Source organism: Homo sapiens, chromosome 14 (genome assembly GCF_000001405.40).
Source record: "Homo sapiens chromosome 14, GRCh38.p14 Primary Assembly".
Taxonomy (NCBI): domain Eukaryota; kingdom Metazoa; phylum Chordata; class Mammalia; order Primates; family Hominidae; genus Homo; species Homo sapiens.
Window position 1 is genome coordinate 31,264,240 of NC_000014.9, and position 20,277 is coordinate 31,284,516.

Genomic DNA, 20,277 nt, shown 5'->3' on the forward strand with positions numbered 1-20,277 from the left:
TGAAATTTCTGTTGTGGTTGTTTTTTGAGTTCGAAGGATACGCTTTTCACAGATATGATTGTTCCTAATTAGCAATGGATCTCACTCAAGGTCATTGTGAATCAATGGTGAAATCAGTTCTCTACTTCTAGATTCTGAACAGAACAGTGAGAATGAAGGGGAGGGAAGCTTTGTGAGTAATAACACAAGTGGTTAAGCAAACAGAAGGACTGTGCAAAGATGAAGAGACCCTTGTGTGTAGGTTAACCGAGCAACACAGTAGCAGAGAACACAAAGAAATATGGTATAGGTGTAAACACCAAAAAGTAGGAAGTCTTTTCCTGTCCTTAGAGAAAGAGTATGGTAGAAAAAAAGCATTATAGTTCTGGCAAGGGAAGGTAACCATGGAGATACACACACCCCATGTGGCAATGACCACGTGATGAAAAATAATATCACCTGACATTTGTGGTTGTATGTTTTTCAGGGTCAAAAGAACCTAACTCCCGGCAGTATTCTTTGTCCTTCCAGATCTGAGATCTACCCTGTTTTCCCTGCCAGTTTTCTCTCCTGGATCCTGAGTGTTTTGTTTTGTTTTGTTTTGTTTTTTTGAGACAGAGTCTCGCTGTGTCGCCCAGGCTGGAATGCAGCGGCCAGATTCGGCTCACTGCAAGCTCCACCTCCCGGGTTCACACCATTCTCCTGCCTCAGCCTCCCCAGTAGCTGGGACTACAGGCGCCCGCCACTACGCCCGGCTAATTTTTTTTTTTTTTTTTTTTTTTTGTATTTTTAGTAGAGACGGGGTTTCACCGTGTTAGCCAGGATGGTCTCAATCTCCTGACCTCGTGATCCGCCCGCCTCGGCTTCCCAAAGTGCTGGGATTACAGGCGTGAGCCACTGCGCCCGGCCGATCCTGAGTTTTTTATAAACTTGCACAAATTACCAGGGATCATTAGTCTGTGATGCATAGATCTTTATGATCACTTAACTAAACAGTGCTGTATCCTCTTCAATGCTACAGTCTTCTCACCTACAAGAGGCACCAATGTTATATGTATAAGAGAACAGACAAAGCATTAGGGATGTGACTTGCTGAGGATCAAGACTGGAGAAATGGGCCAGGCGCCGTGGCTCACATCTCTAATCCCAGCACTTTGGGAGGCCGAGGCGGGCAGATCACGAGGTGAAGAGATTGAGACCAGCCTAGCCAACATGGTGAAACCCCGTCTCTACTAAAAGTATAAAAATTAGACGGGCATGGTGGCGGGCGCCTTTAGTCCCAGCTACTCGGGAGGCTGAGGCAGGAGAATGGCCTGAACCCGGGAGGCGGAGCTTGCAGTGAGCCGAGATCGCGCCACTGCACTCCAGCCTGGCGACAGAGCGAGACTCTGTCTCAAGAAAAAATAAAAAATAAAAAAGATTGGAGAAATGTCTATTGGAAACAGGAGCTCAGGAACAACCTATTTATCGTGGAAGTCTTCAGCAACTCATTTTGTGAGGTAGTGCTTTGGCACTTGATTTCTTTTATCTGGGATGGAGCCCAAGGAAGTGGTACTTGGAGAGGGAGCAGCATAAACAAAATAGAAGTGACTAAGCTGTTTTGACACCCATTAAGATGGGTGTTACTCCCCAAATGGAAACCAGCTATCTGCTTTTCTATTTGACCACGCCTTTTCCTGCTGGTGATCTGAAACAGGGTTACCTGTTCCTCTGACTAATCCCTAAAAACGCAGGTGAACAGAGGCTGCGATGACCTACTTTGCAAATACCTGTTACAGTGTTAATCAGTGAACTTTGTGGCCAGACGTCCTCACAGTTGTTCTACTTTACACTGAAGGCCAGGTAGGGAGCAGACTTTGGAATGGGCTTGTGGCCATCCATCAGAAGCAAGGGAGTTGGGAAACAAGTGCTGATTAGAAATGCAAATTATTGGCTGGGTCTGGTGCTGTGTGCCTGTAGTCCCAGCTACTCAGGAAGCTAGGCAGGAAGATTGCTTGAGCTCAGGAGTTCGAGGATCTAGTGCACAATCACAGATCACACCTCTGAATAGCCACTGCACTCCAGCCTGGGCAACATAGCGAGCCTCCGTCTCTAGAAAAAGAAAATGCAAATTATTGGACCTTACCTTAGTGTCGTGATTCAGAATTTCTTTTTGTTTTTAATAAAGATTAACATTTAGAATAGTTTTAGATTTACAGAAAAATTGTGAAGATAGTACAGAGTTTCCATATAACACACACCCAGTCTCCCGTTATTAACATCTTACACTACTAGTATGGTACATTTGTCACAAGTGTTGAACCAATATTGATACTTTCTTGTTAACTAAAGTTCATATTTTATTCACATTTTCTTAGTTCTTACCTAATCTCCTTTTTCTGTTCCAGGATCCCATCTAGGATACCATGCTACATTTAGTCATCGTGCCTTCTTAGGCTTCTCTCTGTTATGACAGTTTTTTAGACTTGCCTTGTTTTTGTCATAAGTCTTTTGTTGTTGTTTTTTGAAATAGGGTCTCCTTCTGTTGCCCAGGCTGAAGTGCAGTGATGTAATCATGGCTCACTGTAACCTCGAACTCCTGGACTCAAGCAATCCTTTCACCTCAGCCTCTGGAGTAGCTGGGACTACAGGCGTGTGCCACCATGCCAGGAGAATCTTTTTTTTTTTTTTTTTTCTTTTTGAGATGGAGTCTTGCTGTGTCTCCCAGGCTGCAGTGCGGTGGCACGATCTCAGCTCACTGCACCTCTGCCTCCCAGGTTCAAGAGGTTCTCCTGTCTCAGCCTCCAGAGTAGCTGGGACTACAGCTGCCTGCCACCATGCCCGGCTAATTTTGTAGTTTTAGTAGAGACCGGGTTTCACCATGTTGGCCAGGCTGGTCTTGAACTCTGACTTCAAGTGATCCACCCGCCTCAGCCTCCCAGAGTGCTGGGATTACAGGCATGAGCCACCCAGACCAACAACCCAGGAGAATCTTTTGATTGTAGAGGTGAGATCTTGTTATATTGCCCAGACTAGTCTTGAACTCCTGGCCTTAAGCGACCCTCCTGTCTTGGCCTCCCGAAGTGTTGGAATTACAGGCGTGAGCCACCGTGTCTGGTCCCAGACTTTCCTTGTTTTTTATGACCTTAACAGTTTTGAAAAGTACTGGTCAGGTTTTTTGTTTTTGTTTTAGAGACAGAGTTTTGCTCTTGTTGCCCAGGCTGGAGTGCAGTGGCGCGATGGCTCACCCCAACCTCTGCTTCCCAGGTTCAGGCTATTCTGCTGCCTCAGCCTCCCGAGTAGCTGGGATTACAGGCATGTGCCACCATGCCTGGCTAATTTTGTATTTTTTTTTTTTTTTTTTTTTAGTAGAGACAGGGTTTCTCCATGTTGGTCAGGCTGGTCTTGAACTCCCGACCTCAGGTGATGCGCCCGCCTCGGCCACCCAAAGTGCTGGGATTACAGGTGTGAGCCACTGCGCCCAGCCTGGTCAGGTATTTTTTATAGAATGCCCTTCAACTTGGGTTTGTCTGATGTTCTTCTCGTGATTAGATCGGGGTTATGGGTTTTTGGGAAAAAGACCACAAAGTGCCACTCTTATCATGTAACAAGTGTACACTAAGGTAGTTCTGTCATTTCCCCACAGTATTCTTTTTCCTCTCCCCTTTCCATATGTATTCTTTGGCAGGGGAAATCACCATGTGCAACCCACACATAAGGGGTGGGGAGTTCAGTTTCACCTCCTTGAGGGTAGAATATTTACATAAATTATTTGGAATTCTGCATGGGAGATTGGTCCATTTCCATCATTTATTCATTTATTTATTTATATCAGGAGAGACTTATAGACGTTTATTTTACATTTCGAGTTATAATCCAATAATCTCATTTTCCAGTTTTGGCCTTTTGGGCACTCTTGTGGCCCTGTTGTCCACTTGACACAACCCCACTGTTTGTTTGTTTTAACACTTCGTTACTTTCTGGCATTTAATTTTTTCTTCCAGGCACTTGTTTTTAATTTCCTGCCACTTCTCTTTTTTGACAAGCTTTTCAGATGTTTCTCCCACACTACATTTGAACAGCTATTGACGGGGAAGAGCTCTCTATTTTTGAGATCATAAGAGTCACATTGGGCCCTTGTTAACAATAAGAGTTTCATGCCTCTTCTCTGAAGATTCCAATTTAGTAGTTCTGGAGTGAGCCCTAAGGGTCTGGAATTTATAATAAGTATCTCCAGATGGTTCTTACAATCAGGAATGTTTGGTAAACAGCGCCTTAAGGTCATTTTAATTAAGACTTCTTTGTCAAGCTTAATTTAGATAGATAACCACAATCCGTAGTATTGGAAGAGTGAGTCTCTGTAGTTGGAATTCCAAGTGTTTTCAAATACACTATTTCATTTAATCCTCATTATTCAAATATGAAGTAGGAAGAACATTTTGTAGGTGAGGAAATTTAAACCCCAGATAAGAAGGTGGCTTTCCTAAGATCACACAGTGGAATGCATCGCCATACCATGATCAATAGGCAGAGACAAAAAGTAACACAAAATCTCTTGTGTTTTGGGATTTGGAATAGCATTACTAAGTAAGATGACTAAAAAGATAGGATGTCAGTCTGTTGATAGGACTGATTTTTTAGCAATAAAGATTTATAATCTAATAGTAAAATTGATCTACCTAAGCAAGCCACCGTTTCCAGTACCTTTCCTTCCATCAAAGTGTACCATGTTCACATTTTTTGAGTGACAACTATGTGCCAAGTATAGCCTGCTCTCCTAACTTCTTTTCAACTGGTTCCTTTTTCAAAACTTTAGACATAAGCCAGGTGTGGTGGCTTATGCCTGCAATCCCAGCACTTTGGAAGGCCAGGGTAGATGGATCACTTAAGGTAGGGAGTTCGAGACCAGCCTGCCAACATGGTGAGACCCCGTCTCTACAAAAATTAGCTGGGCATAGTGGCACATGCTTGTAATCCCAACTACTCAGTTGGCTGAGGCAGGAGAATCACTTGAACCCGGGAGGCAGAGGTTGCAGTGAGCCAAGATAGCACTACTGCACTCCAGCCTGGATGACAGAGAGAGACTGTCTCTAAAAAAAAATAAAATAAAATTGAGATATAAATCTCCATGAGTTTCCCACAGCTGCCATAACTAAGTACCACAAACTAACTTGCTTTAGGCAACAGAAATTTATTCCCTCACAGTGCTGAAAGCTAAAAGTCCAAAATCAAGGTGTTGGCAAGACCATGCTCCTCCCCAAACCTCTAAGGGAGGATGTTTCCTTGCTTCTTCCAGCTTCTGCTAGCCCCAGACATTCCTCTGCTTATGGCAACATAACTGCAATCTCTGCTTCTTCTTCACACAGCTGTCTTCTCTCTGTGTTGTGTTTCTGTATCTTCACATTGGGGGCTCCTCTTTTTATAAGAACTCGAGTCAGATTCGATTAAGGGCCCACTCTACTCCAGTATGATTTCATCTTAACTATTTATGTCTGACTCCCCATATCCATTAGCAATCACCTCCCATGCCCCCCTTTTCCAACCCCTAGCAACCACAAATCTACTTCCTGTCTGTATGGATTTGCCTATTCACAGGCATTTCCTATAAATAGACATTTCATGTAAATAGAATCATAATAAGAAGGCTTTTCTGTTTGGCTTCTTCTGTTTTCAAAGTTCATCTACACTGTAGTGATAGCAGCAGGAGGCAGACAAATGCCTAGGCAGTTAGGGGCGGGTCCTTGGTGAAACCCCACCTTCAAGCCCAACATAGTCTGAAGGCTGAAAGATTGGACTCCTGGTTACAGATGAAACCTGCGACCCTGAGTGAGAACTTCTGTTCCTGTTTGCCCACCCTTTCCTGATTGGTTCTTTCTGAATAATGCTTTTAAACCAATCAAATGTTACCTTTTCCAATACTACCTATGGCCCTCCCCTTCCCCATCCTGTGCCTATGAAAACCCCCAGATTCAGCCACACTGGGGAGATGACCCAACCTTCCTGTCCCCTCTCTGCTGAGAGCTGTTTTGTCGCTCAATAAAATTCTCCGCCCTCATCACCCTTCAATTGTCAGCATGACCTCATTCTTCTTGGATGTGGGACAAGAATTCAGGACCCACCAAGCACAGGTACTCAGAAGGCTGTAAACATTGTGGCCCTCTTCCCTCCACCAGCAGAGGGCAGCCTCCCAATGTCACAGGAAGCAATGGTAGGGCCAAGCCAGCCCTGGAGCCAAGGGCCAGAGCTGGGCAAGGGCCTGTCCAAGCTGTTAACACACTGCTGTCCATCAGGCTGCAGATGGTGGGACTAAATGAGCTAATTAGCACGTTGTAACACTGCTTCTGGGGCTTCAGGGTTGTAGGCACCCTTGCCTGGGCACCACTGCATCCCCTTGGGATGTGGCAGGACACACCTCGTCCAGCTGCAAGCACTGCATGGAGCCCACTCCTGTGCTGAAGTTTGGAATGGCTGGTCAGATCCCATACTCACTCACACACACATCCTCTCCTGCCAGGGGCTGAGCATGTAGTCACAGCAGCAGCAGCAGGAGCCATGGGCTGGAGTGCAAGCCAGACATGGCCCGGTGGGCCAAGCAGATGGGATGTCTGCTGCTTCAAACCTGGCAAAGGGGCCAAGAAAAATCCTGCATTAGTAGCATGTATCAATGCTTCATTCATTTTTATGGCTGAGTAATATTCCACTGTTTGGATATAACACATTTTGTTAATACACTCATCAGTTGATGGACACTTGTGTTGTTTCCACTTTTTGGCTATTATAAATAATGCTGCTATAAATGTTCATGTACAAGTTTGTGTGTGAACATTTCAATTTTTTCATACCTAGGAGTGGAATTGCTGGATCATATCATAATTATGTTTAATTTCTTACCATTTAGAGACCTATTATACAGCATGGAGACTACAGTTAATGACAATATAGTGTACTAAAAAAATGCAAATAGAGTGTTCAGATGTCATGGTGCACACCTGTTGTCCCTGCTACTCAGGAGGCTGAGGTGGAAGGATTGCTTCAGCCCAGGGAGTTTGAGGCTGCAGTGAGCTATGATCATACCAGTGCACTACAGCCTGGGTAACAGAGCAAGACCTTGTCTGAAAAAAGAAAAAAGGTAAATGGAGAGGATGATAAGTGTTCTCACCACAAAAGTGATAATTATGTGAGGTAACACATTTGTTAATTAGCTAGATTTAACTATTCCACAATGTATATATACTTCAAAACATTGTGTTCTACACAATACATAAAATTTTCTCTGTTAATTAAAAAAAAATCAGCAATGTACAGAGGTTGTAATTTTTCTACATCCTCCCCAATTCTTTGTATTGTCTGTATTTTTTTTATCATAGCTATGAAAGGAAAATAAATCTTGGGGCCTCAAAATCACTAAGTTAAAGGGTAAAGTCAAGCTGGGAACTGCTTAGGGCAAACCTGCCTCCCATTCTATTCAAAATCACCTGCTCACTGAGATAAATGCATATCTGCTTGCCTCTTTGGAGAGGCCAATCAGAAACTCAAAAGAATGCAACCGTTTTTCTCTTATCTACCTATGACCTAGAAGCCCCCTCCCTGCTTCGAGTGGCCCCGCCTTTGCTTTGAGTTGTCCTCTTTTCCAGGCTGAACCAATGTTCATCTTACATATGCTGATTGATGTCTCATGTCTCCCTAAAATGATAAAACTAAACTGTGCTCTGACCACCTTGGGCACATGTCGTCCGGACCTCCTGAGGCTGTGTCATGGGTGTGTGCCCTCAACCTTGGCAAAATAAACTATCTAAATTAACTGAGGCCGGTCTCACATATGCCGGGTTCACATTTTGGTAACCACGAAGGGATTCTGAGTGGAGGTGCACCTGATCTTTGACGAAGTTCCTATCGGTGCTTGGTACCAGCATGACCTAACCTTATGGCTTAAACCAACAGGACAAATTGCTGAGGTTTGGGAGCACACCCTCCAGAGGACCCCTGATCTCCCAAAATTTGGTTGAGATCTAAAGTTTATTTTGCTGTACAACTCCCCCCAACACCTTTTTTTTTTTTTTTTTTTTGTTTTACTTGCTTCCAACAAGGAATGCAAGATTTCTTGCTGATGTTGGAAGGCAGGCTCCTTTATGGAGTTTGAGCTCGCTCCCAGCAGGGAAGACGAGTTCAAGTGTTTCCTGCTTCAAGGATGGTAGAGAGCAGTCTTCAGCCTGAGACTCATCCCTAGGTAAGTAGCTGAATTGTCTTGGCTAAAGTTTAACAACCAGCTGGTCTTAATTTCTCCTTACCATTAGAGCACTCAGTGACCAAGTCTACCTGACTTCCTCAAATCCAAGAGGGACTTCCAAAGCCTCTCTAATTTGGCTAAAATTCCTTGCAGCTACAAAAGAGGAAAAAAAAACAACCCATGTGTTTGGTTTCTGTGTTTGCTTCCTCCTTAAAAAATGAAATGTTCTTTCATTTACTTTTCTTCCGCCCTGTACCTCCTTCCCTCTTTGCCACCTGTAGTATCAGAAAATCTAGAGAAGGCTTCTAATAACTTGAACCCCTTTAAAGAATTCAGAACAAAGTCATCACTCATCCCTTTTGGGGTGTTCTGTTTTCCTTGTGGTGTTTCAAGAGTCCTGGGCAGATTCTTCTTAGGTCTAAAGCTCTGTTTTCCTGTATTACATGAGCTGACCTCTTTGGCTTTGCAGGTAACCAGAGATGACCTTGTACTGTGAGAGGATTTGACCCTGGCATGTGAAATGGCAGATGAGAGCTAGAAAGGTAAGGGTGGCTGAGCACAGTTTACAGGAAGTGGTCTTCGCTGTTGTTGTTGTTGTTTTTTGACACAGAGTTTCGCTCTTGTTGCCCAGGCTGGAATACAATGGCGTGATCTCAGCTCACTGCAACCTCTGCCTCCTGGATTCAAGCAATTTTCCTGCCTCAGTCTCCTGAGAAGCTGGGATTACAGACATGTGCCACCATGCCTGGCTAATTTTGTATTTTTAGTAGAGACAGGGTTTCTCCATGTTGGTCAGGCTGGTCTTGAACTCCTGACCTCAGGTGATCCTCCCACCTCAGCCTCCCAAAGTGATGGGATTACAGGCGTGAGCCACTGTGCCTGGCTGTTTTTTTTTTTTTTCCTCCTAGGAAGTCGTTGTTTAAGGATCCTAATTCTAGTTTGGAGATGCATTCTAAAGGATCTTCTCTATCCCAAAACTAATTTCGATTTGGCTTGTCTGTGAACAATTGCATGAGGAACTGAACTGTTGTTTTCATAGGTAAATGAGAAACTGAGTTTTCTCAGTTTGAAAGAGAAAGGCATTTTGCTCCTCCCAGACAAATGGTGCCCCTGGGTGACCGGGGGGCTCATGGGAGTGTCTGGGTGATTGACCCCCCAGATGATGTGTAGCAGCCCTACAGGGAAATCCCCAACAAAAATTAATTTTGAAAAAGGCAGCCGGGTGTGGTGGCTCACACCTGTAATCCCAGCGCTTTGGGAGGCCAAGGAGGGCGGATCACCTGAGGTCAGGAGTTTGAGACCAACCTGGCCAACATGGTGAAACCCTGTCTCTACTAAAAATACAAAAGTTAGCTGGGTGTGGTGGCAGGTACCTGTAATCCCAGCTACTCAGGAGGCTGAGGCAGGAGAATCACTTGAATGTGGGAGGTGGAGGTTGCAGTGAGCTGAGATCATGCCACTGCACTCCAGCATGGGTGACAGAGCAAGACTCTGCCTCAAAAAAAAAAAAAAAAAAAAAGAAAAAGAAAAAGCTTGTCCAGGAAATGCATATGAGGGCTGATCACCCAGTGTTTTGAGCTCTCTCAGAGGTCATAGAACTCTGGAGAGAGAAACTGAGATACATAAGAGGGTGGAAATGACTCAGTGGTGACACACTGTGGAGTCCTGCCCACAAGCAGTACACATCAATCTACCACTCAAAAACCTTAGGCTACAGCTCAGTTCCTCCTTTTAGGAAAATAAGTAGGAAACAAATCATCTAAGAATGAGGAGAAAACAAGGAGAATGGCCCCCTTTCAAGTAATCCATAGGTTTTATGGCACCTCTACTTGCCAGAGTTTATGTAAAATAGAACTAATATGGTCTTTGTGCATATTTACATTAAGGAAAAAGAGCTCTAAAATCTGTTTGGGAAAGGACTGTTAATGTCGTTTCAAAGCTAAACTATAAACTAGGTTCCTCCCAAAGTTAGTTTGGCCTATACCCAGGAATGAACAAGGACAGCTTGGAGGTTAGAAGCAAGATGAAGTCAATTAGGTCAGATCTTTTTCACTGTCTCAGTTATAATTTTGCAGTTCCATAGTTATGGTTCCATAACTTTAAATGATGACTATCACAGTTTTCATAAGTAATCTAGGTAAATAATGAAAATAAAATAATTAGGTAAATACAATGGGATAGTTGTAGACAAACTTGTCATAACTTAGAATCTAAAGTTATATTAAATTAAATAATATGGCTGGGCATGGTGGCTCATGCCTGTAATCCCAGCACTTTGGGAGGCTGAGGTGGGCGGTCAGGGGTTCAAGACCTGCTTGGCCAACATAGTGAAATCTTGTCTGTACTAAAAATAATAATAAAAAAAAATTAGCCAGGCATGATGGTGGGTGCCTGTAGTCCCAGCTACTTGGGAGGCTGAGACAGGAGAATTGTTTGAACCTGGGAGGCAGCGGTGGCAGTGAGCTGAGATTGCACCACTGCACTCCAGCCTGGGTGACAGAGGGAGACTCTGTCTCAAAATAATAATAATAAATAATAGGTATTTTATTATTTGGGTATTTTCCAATAAAATTATATTGTAGAAAAACATTCTTTCTGAAAAAATGTGTGTCCTTTTAAAAAGGTGAAAAAGTTTTGTCTGATTCAAAGCTTATTTAAAGGTTATATATAAAGCAAGGTAAAAAGGGGTTGGGCATGGTGGCTCACGCCTGTGATCCCAGAACTTTGGGAGGCTGAGGTGGGCAGATCACCTGAGGTCGGGAGTTCAAGACCAACCTGACTAACATGGAGAAACTCTGTCTCTATTAAAAATACAAAATTAGCTGGGCGTGATGGTGCATGCCTGTAATCCCAGCTACTCGGGAGGCTGGGGCAGGAGAATTGCTTGAACCTGGGAGGTGGAGGTTGTGGTGAGCCAAGATCATGCCATTTCACTCCAGCCTGGGCAACAAGAGCAAAACTCCATCTCAAAAAAAAAAAAAAAAAAAAAGCCAAGCTAAAAAGAATCATGAAATAAGAGAGATGTAAATAAAGTTATAAAAATAAGCCAGGCATGGTGGCTCACAACTGTAATACCAGAACCAGAACTTTGGGAGGCCGAGGCAGACGGGTCACCTGAGGTCAAGAGTTTCAGACCAGCCTGGCCAACATGGTGAAACCCCATCTCTACTAAAAATATGAAAATTAGCCAGGTGTGGTGGTGGACGACTGTAATCCCAAATACTTCGGAGGCTGAGGCAGGAAAATCACTTGAACCCAGGAGGTGGAGGTTGTAGTGTGTTGAGATTGTGCCACTGCACTCCAACCTGGATGACAGAATGAGACTCCATCTTGAAAAAAAAGGAAAAAAAAAAGTTATAAAAATAAAGAGGTTTTTTAGTTTTTTTTGGTAAGAAAACATAAAGAAAAATAATTTCATATGAGAAAGAATCTTGTGTGGCAAATTTAGTCCTAGAATAAAATGACTGTTTAAGAAAGAAGGATGTTCAGGACAAACCAGAAAGTCAAAGCATGTCATGAACAGTCTATGTAAGTCACAATAAGAAGATTTATTAAAAAAAACTTTTATATGATCAAGTTGTCTATAATTAAAGTGAAATTATAATGGTCTTTTCAGAGACTGGGCTTGATGTATAAAAAATCTTATACACTATATAATTGGTTACAACAATGAAATTTTCTTAAGGGATTGATTTACTCTTAATAAATTATGAGAGATTTTAATTTATTTTTTATTTTTATTTTTATTTACTTTTTTGAGACAGAGTCTCACACTGTCACTGAGGCTGGAGTGCAGTGGCACGATCTCGGCTCACTGCAAGCTCCGCCTGCCGGGTTCATGCCATTCTTCTGCCTCAGCCTCCGGAGTAGCTGGGACTACAGGCACCCACCACTACACCCAGCTAATTTTTTGTATTTTTAGTAGAGACGAGGTTTCGCTGTGTTAGCCAGGATGGTCTCGATCTCCTGATCTTATGATCTGCCCACTTTGGTCTCCCAAAGCGTTGGGATTACAGGCATGAGCCACTGTGCCCGGCCAAGAGATTTTAATTTTTTTTAACTCAACGTTCACCTTTATTGGATCTCACCATTTTCATTTTCTGTCCCCTTTTAACCCTTTTAAAGGGCGCAAAATAGTAACACTCTCCTTCAACTCATTTCCAGCTCATATAAGTTTATTTCCTTGAGTTGTGTTTGCTGTTGTGGCCTGATGATAACAATGTTTTTTCTTTCTTTCTTTTTCTTTCTTTCTTTCTTTCTTTCTTTCTTCCTTCCTTCCTTCCTTCCTTCCTTCCTTTCCTTCCTTCCTTCCTTCCTTCCTTCCTTCCTTCCTTCCTTCTTTCTTTCTTTCTTTCTTTCTTTTCTTTCGACAGAATTTTGTTCTTATAGCCCAAGGTGGAGTTCAATGGCACGATCTCAGCTCACTGCAACATCCGCCTCCTGGGTTCAAGCGATTCTCCTGCCTCAGCCTACTGAGTAGCTGGGACTACAGGCGCACGTCACCATGCCCAGCTAATTTTTGTATTTTTAGTAGAGACGGGGCTTCACCATGTTGACCAGGCTGGTCTTGAACTCCTGACCTCAGGCAATCCGCTTGCCTCCTGACCTCAGGCAATCCGCCTGCTTCAGCCTCCAAAAGTGCTGGGATTACAGGTGTGGGCCACCACACCCAGCCCTCGTATGTGCTTTTAAAGTCCTTGTGACAGTGAGTTACAAGGCTTTGACTCCTAGGTCTAAAAAGGACACCAAGTCCTGAGAAATCCTAAACTCTGACAGCAATTAAAGGCTCATCTTCAGGCCTGCTGGAAGATGCCAATCAAAATAAACTGCATTTCCTGTGACACAGGGTCAGAATTTAAAGCTATTCAACTCCACAAGGCCCAGGGACTATTGTGGAAGAGGTGGGTGTGTGACACTGTAAGGGCCAATTTTCAGGAATAAAATAAGTTCAGTTTCTCTATAAGTTAATCAATAATGTGAAAGGCACACTGATGCAAGACCAGCATATGGGCCCCTGTGTCAGATCAACAAGGTTTCTTGAAGCATTAAGTGACTCCTTAATAAAGGTTACAATGTTTATAAAAGGCTTATGGAAGTTATATCTTATGGTCAAGATTAAAATTTTATAGATTGTTTATAAAAATTAAGTCTCCTCAATGAATGAAGGTTTTCACTTTTTTTTTTAATCCCCGAGTTATCACTTTGGTCAAATGAATGAGTTATTTTACAATGAGTGTGATACCAAGTGTTTTAAACCTTTGATATTTGACAACCCAGAATCAAATTATAAATTATGTATTGGCCAGGTGCGATGGCTTATGCCTGTAATCCCAGCACTTTGGGAGGCCAAGGCAGTGAATCACCTGAGGTCAAGAGTTTGGGACCAGCCTGGCCAACATAGTGAAACCCCATCTTTACTAAAAATACAAAAATTAACTGGGTGTGTTGGCACATGCCTGTAGTCCCAGCTACTTGGGAGGCTGAGGCAGAAGAATTGCTTGAACCCAGGAGCCAGAGGTGGCAGTGAGCCACGATCGCACCACTGCACTCCAGCCTGGGTGACAGAGGGAGACTTTGTCTCAAAAAAAAAAAAAAAAAAAAAAAAAAAATATATATATATATATATATATATATATATATACACACACACACACATATATATGTGTGTGTGTGTGTTATGTCTTTTTCTGACCTAATTAATCCTTTAAGATATTAGGTTCCCTAAAGTCCAAAAATGACATAATTTGTCTTATTTGGTATAAAAATTATACAGGAAGCACTGTCAAATATGAAATGGTGTTTGGTTTTCTTTGGGCTGTATTTGTATAAATATGTTATTGGTATGTGTTCCAAAATTATGGGAAACTCCTATAATTCTGATATGACTTAGTATACATTATCAGTGATAATTGTAATCATTATGTTAAATTATTGTCTGCCACAGAGGCAAAAAATTTCCTTGTCAGTTGTGTTTTTTACTATGGCTGCCCTAAAACTTTTTGTCATCCACAGACAATTGTTTTCTTGGTTTGGTCCTCTTTATAAGGTGGCTTTATAATCAATAAAACTCTAACAAGTGCTAACAGGTGCTCTTTTTTTTTTTTTTTTTTTTGAGACAGGCTGGAGTGCAATGGCACAATCTTGGCTCACTGCAACCTCCACCTCCCGGGTTCAAACAATTCTCCTGCCTCAGCCTCCTGAGTAGCTGGGATTACAGGTGCCCACCACCACACCTGGCTAATTTTTATATTTTTAGTAGAGACAGGGTTTCACCATGTTGGCTGGGCTGTTCTCAAACTCCTGACCTCAGGTGATCCACCCACCTCGGCCTCCCCAAAGTGCTGAGATTACAGGCATGAGCCACTGTACCCAGCCTAAAAGGTGCTCTTGAATGCAGGTTTCTGATAACTTTGGAGACTGTGACATCAGAATTGAGGGAAAACTTTCAGGACTCATGGAGAGCTGAAATATTCATGAAAATGAAGTAGACCAGGAATTAACTGCATGGACTGAACTGATAGAGGACTGAAGTAGTCTTTTTGACACTTTGATTAAAACATTTCTGATCCTTTGTTTTGTTTTTTCAGAGTCAAGGAAACATTTCTTTTGAGCTATTGTCAACTTTTAACAAGGAAGTATACTCCTATGAACAAAATTTGGAGCATATTTGTTTCTTTCTACCTGATTTCTCCAGAATTTGGGAACTATTTGTGAGTATTCTTAACTTTTGGCAATATGGTTATTTGCATAAGTTCAATAAGAATCTGTGTTCATTTGTAGTAGGACACAATTGGAGAAACTGGTTATTTTATCAAGGCTTTGACTGAAATGGTGTACTTTCCTTTAAGGAATCAAACGACTAATAGAGCCAATAAAAACCCCTTGGGAAAAGTGGCCTCATACCTTTGTCTACACAGTCCATGTACCGGGTTCCTGACCAGTGAAACAATGTTCCATCGAAGCCAATTTAAAAGACTATGTAAAAAAATTATGGCTGGGCGTGGTGGCTCACGCCTGTAATCCTAGCACTTTGGGAGGCCAAGGTGGGTGGATCACTTGAGGTCGGGAGCTCGAGACCAGCCTGACCAACATGGAGAAACCCTGTCTCTACTAAAAATACAAAATTAGCCAGGTGTGGTGGTGCATGCCTGTAATCCCAGCTGCTCAGGAGGGTGAGGCAGGAGAACTGCTTGAATCTGGGAGGCAGAGGTTGTGGTGAGCCAAGTTTGCATCATTGCACTCTAGCCTGGGCAACAAGAGTGAAATTCCATCTCAAAAAAAAAAATATTCTTGCTGCACTGTATACAAATAATCAGGCCAAGTATAATAAAGCAAATCAGTCCCACTATGATTTGTCTTTAGCAAAAATGGGAAACTGGAGAGAGAAAATTTATGTTTCAAAAACTATAGTTCACCTGTTGTTAGATTCTAGTCTTGCCTAATGTTTTTCAATTTTTATTATTTTCTACAGTTTGGACTGATTTTTTTTTTTTTTTTTGGCTAGAAGTCTTCAAAATAATGTTTTCAATTTTTTTCATTCTTTTTTCCCCCATTTTTCCTAATTTGGAGTCACCAAAAATTAAGCTGTGCTTTCTTAAAGCCCTGTGAACTGAAGCTAGACAACTTAAACTTCAGAAGAAAATAACAGCAACCTATTTACATATATCAGCCACTTTCATACCTGCTACTGATGTATGAACTTCAGAGTAATGTGGCTTATATTGATTTTCCAGGATTCTTCTTTTGTTTCTTGTTGTTTTCCTCCCTTCCTCCTCTTACTTTCTCTTCATAGGACAGGAAACTTCACAACCTGCTAAAAATGAGCTTTCCTAATATCTCTGGACCTACCTGTCTAGGAATCAGATGAAGCCTGAAACCAGAGACTCATTTTCTTCTAAAATGCTTTCTCCAAAAGATTTTTTTAAAAGAGAAGGCGGAAATGTGAAAGGAAACTAAATCTTGGGGCCCCAAAATCACTAAGCTAAAGTGAAAAGTCAAGCTGGTGACTGTTTAGGGCAAACCTGCCTCGCATTCTATTCAAACTCACCCCTCTGTTCACTGAGATAGCCTCTCCAAAGGAGAGGCTAATCAGATAAATGCCTCCTTTGGAGAGGCTAATCAGGTAACTCAAAAGAATGCAAACATTTGTCTCTTATCTACCTATGACCTGGAATCCCCCTCCACACTTTGAGTTATCCCGCCTTTCTGAACCAATATTTATCTTACATATGTTGATTGATGTCTCATGTCTCCCTAAAATGTATAAAACCAAACTGTGCTCTGACCACCTTGGGCACATGTTGTCAGGACCTCCTGAGGTTGTGTCACCAGTGTGTATCCTCAACCTTGGCAAAATAAACTTTCTAAATTAACCGAGGCCTGTCTCAGATACTGGTGTTCACACAGCCATCCTGGTGGATGTGAAGTGGCATCTCATTGTGGTTTTGCATTTCCCTAATGATTAATGATGTTGAGCATCTTTTCATTTGCTTATTGAGCATCTATTATATTCCTTGAAGAAATGTCTATTTAAATCCTTTACCCATTTTTAAATTGGATTGTCTTTTCAGTATTGAGTTTTCTTTTCTTTTATTTTCTTTAAAATAGAGGCAGGGTCTCACCATGTTGCCGAGGCTGGTGTTGAATTCTTGGAGCTCAAGTGATCCTCCCGCCTCAGCCTCTTGGAGTTCTGGGATTACAGGCATGAGTCACCACCCCCGGCCTTCAGTGTTGAGTTTTAAGAGTTCTTGATATATTCTGGATATTAGACTTTTATTAGATATGTGATTTGCCAAGTTCTCCCTCTCATTCTGTGTGTTGCCTTTTCACTTTCTTGATGGTGTCTTTTGAAGTACAAAAGTTTTTAATTTTGAAGTCCAATTTATCTCCTTTTTCTCTGGTCACTTGTGCTTTATGTGTTATATCTAAGAAACCATTACCAAATCCAAGTCACGGAAATTTACGTCTATATTTTCTTCTAAGAGGTTTACAGTTTTAGCTTATATTTAGGTCTTTGATTCATTTTCGTGTAACTTTAGTATATGTGTGAGGTAAAGGTCCAATTTCATTTTTTTTGCATGTGCCTTTCCAGTTGTCTCAGCATGTAACTGACTTCTTGATAAGTAGCTTGGTTGAAATCTGCTTGAGCAAGTGAAAATAAATAATGTATTTGATGAATAAGAGCTACTGCTGTATTCATTGCAATGCTGAGTCTGGAATTCAGGAATTTGGGGCACTGTAGTGGGTAGAATGACGGCCCCTAAGGAGGTATGTCCGTGTTCCAGAACCTGTGAATGTGATTTAATTTGGAAAAGTAGGCTTTTGTAGGTATAATAATTAAGGAACTAGAGAGGAGATTATTTAGGGCCCATCCTGAATTATTCTGGTGGGCCCTAAATCCAATTAAAATTGTCCTTATGAGAGACACATAGAAGAGAGACAGATGGAGGAAACCTTGTGAAGATGGAGGCAGAGACTTGGAGTTATGGCGCTAGAAGCCAGGGAATACCTGGAACACTAGAAGCTAGAAGAGGCAAGAAAGAATTCTTCCCTAGGGCCTTTGAAGTGAGCCTAGGCCTTGATTTCAGACTTCTGGCCTCCAGAATGGGGAGAAAACAAAATTTTGATTGCATAAAGCCATTGGATTTATGGTAGTTTGTTACAGCAGTCCTAGGAAACTAAAACAGACACTTTTAAATGCTTATAGAAAAGATGATTATGGGCCAGGCATGGTGGCTCATGCCTAGCACTTTGGGAGGTGGAGGTGGCTAATCACTTCAGGTCAGGAGTTTGAGATCAGCCTGCCAACATGGTGAAACCCCTCTCTAAAAATACAAAATACAAAATTAGATGGGCATGGTAGTGCACGCCTGTAGTCCCAGCTACTCAGGAGGCTGAGGCAGGAGAATCACTTGAACCTGGGAGGTGGAGGTTGCAGTGAGCCGAGATGGTGCCACTGCACTCCAGCCTGGGCAACAAAGCGAGACTCAGTCCCCCGCCCCCCCCAAAAAATCCAGCCGTTCCTGAAGTCGTCACATGCCCTATCATACCTCAAAAGAAATTGCTTTGATTGGACGCGGCGTCTCACACCTGTAATCCCAGCACTTTGGGAGGCCGAGGCGGGCGAATCACCTGAGGTCAGGAGTTTGAGACCAGCCTGGCCAACATGGTGAAACGCCATCTCTACTAAAAATACAAAAATTAGCTGGGTGTGGTGGTGCATGCCTGTAATCCCAGGTACTCGGGAGGCTGAGGCAGGAGTATCACTTCAACCCAGGAGGCGGAGGTTGCAGTGAGCTGAGATCGTGCCACTGCACTCCAGCCTGGGCAACAGAGTGAGACTCCGTCTCAAAAAAAAAAAAAAAGAATTCATAACTACTCCATTATTCACACAATGAGATACGCTAAATAGGTTATCAAGAAAAAACAATGAAAACTTCCAATCTTTTAGAATAGAATGGGCTGGGCGAGGTGGCTTACACCTGTAATCCTAGCACTTTGGGAGGCCGAGGCCTGCAGATGGCTTGAGCCCAGGAGTTTGAGACCAGCCTGGGTAACACGGTGAACATTAGCCACCATGCCTGGCTAATTTTTATACTTTTAGTAGAGACAGTGTTTTGCCATGTTGGCCAGGGTGGTCTCAACTCCTGGTCTCAAGCAATCCACCCGCCTCAGCCTTCCAAAGTGCTGGCATTACAGGCATGAGCCACCATGCCCAGCCTATGGCTTCTTATTTGCTCAAAAAATACAGAATTCTTGAAATAGTAAGAATCATTTTTAAAATGTTTTTTTGAAATATGCTGTCTGCTTAAAGGGTGATATGTGCCCATCTCTACAAAAAATTAGCTAGACATGGTGATGCACGCCTGTAGTCCCAGCTACTCAGGAGGCTGAGGTGAGAGGATCACTTGAGCCTAGGGAGGTCAAGTCTGCAGTGAGCCATCATCATGCCACTGCACTCCAGCCTGGGCAACAGAGTGAGATCCTGTCTAAAAAAAAAAAAGAATTGTTCTAAATGGTTTAGGCATGTGCTTTCCTAGAGACAGGATCTAGGGTGATTTCTGGAAGTCCCAGTACTGTTAAGAATATAAATCTATCAACTAAGGGAACATATTCATTGTAGAAAATTCTACAAATTTTTTATACATCATTGAGAATCACAATGATCACACTATTATTGAAAAGAGAAAGCATCTGCAATGAAAACTGTAGCAAATGATGATAACTACAGCTGACTGCAGAATAGGAAGTGGAGAATAGGAACCACTTCTCATCTGATGTTGACTCACAATTGATCTGTTGACCACTGAAACAAAAGCATTTCCATAATTTAGAAAATCTATTTTTAAGGAGCTTTTGTGTTTAAACAAAGATCTAGATGATGTGTTTCTAGTACTTGACACCACTAGAGAGGGAAAGGATGTGGGAAGCCCAGTTACCCTGGCAATTCAGAGAGTGGTGAGCACTCCTCCAGCATTTGAATATAAAACAGAAGGCCCAAAACTTTCCCAAGAAAGCAGTAATTAACAGAGAAAACAGTGGGACTTATAGAGTTCATTGTTCAGCCGAGGCCATCAGTTTTGGTTGCACATGCACGTTTTCTTTCTGGGGCCACTTGTACTTCCTCCAATAATAGCACTAGCAAAGCTGCTTTTGCTGTGTCACCGGCATACTTTGCTGTTAAAAAATCTCATTTGTTTTGTTCTTTCTTGGAATATTTTATAAAGCAGTCTGCTATTTCTGACATGTGTGTGTGTTTCTGTGTCTTGTGTCTGTTTTTCTGCTTATAAAGTTTTTTGGCCTGTAGGTATTTTTCCAGGAAAAAGATTAAATTTTGATCCAATTAAGCAAAAACATTGTCAACAGCACTTTTTCATTGGCAGCAATGACCTCTTTTTTCATTTTTATGTTTTCATTTTTTTGACACAGTCTTGCTCTGTCTCCCAGTGGCGCGATCTCAGCTCACTGCAACCTCCACCTCCCAGGTTCAAGTGATGCTCCTGCCTCAGCCTCCTGAGTAGCTGGGACTACAGGCATGCACCACCTCGTCAGGTTAATTTTTGTATTTTTTTGTAGAGACAGAGTTTCACCAT

General features: G+C 42.3%; 3 annotated features.

Annotated features, from left to right (window-relative positions):
• Positions 1,444–1,738: a silencer, noted in NCBI's record as "tiled region #13013; HepG2 Repressive non-DNase unmatched - State 1:Tss". NCBI's record gives its function as "represses a minimal TATA promoter and a strong SV40 promoter by Sharpr-MPRA in HepG2 cells {active_cell/tissue: HepG2}" and the evidence as "EXISTENCE:reporter gene assay evidence [ECO:0000049][PMID:27701403]".
• Positions 5,944–6,238: an enhancer, noted in NCBI's record as "tiled region #11779; HepG2 Activating DNase matched - State 25:Art, and K562 Activating non-DNase unmatched - State 13:Ctcf". NCBI's record gives its function as "activates a minimal TATA promoter and a strong SV40 promoter by Sharpr-MPRA in HepG2 and K562 cells {active_cell/tissue: HepG2 | K562}" and the evidence as "EXISTENCE:reporter gene assay evidence [ECO:0000049][PMID:27701403]".
• Positions 6,034–6,083: an enhancer, noted in NCBI's record as "active region_8231". NCBI's record gives its function as "activates an Ori minimal core promoter by ATAC-STARR-seq in GM12878 lymphoblastoid cells {active_cell/tissue: GM12878}" and the evidence as "EXISTENCE:reporter gene assay evidence [ECO:0000049][PMID:35858748]".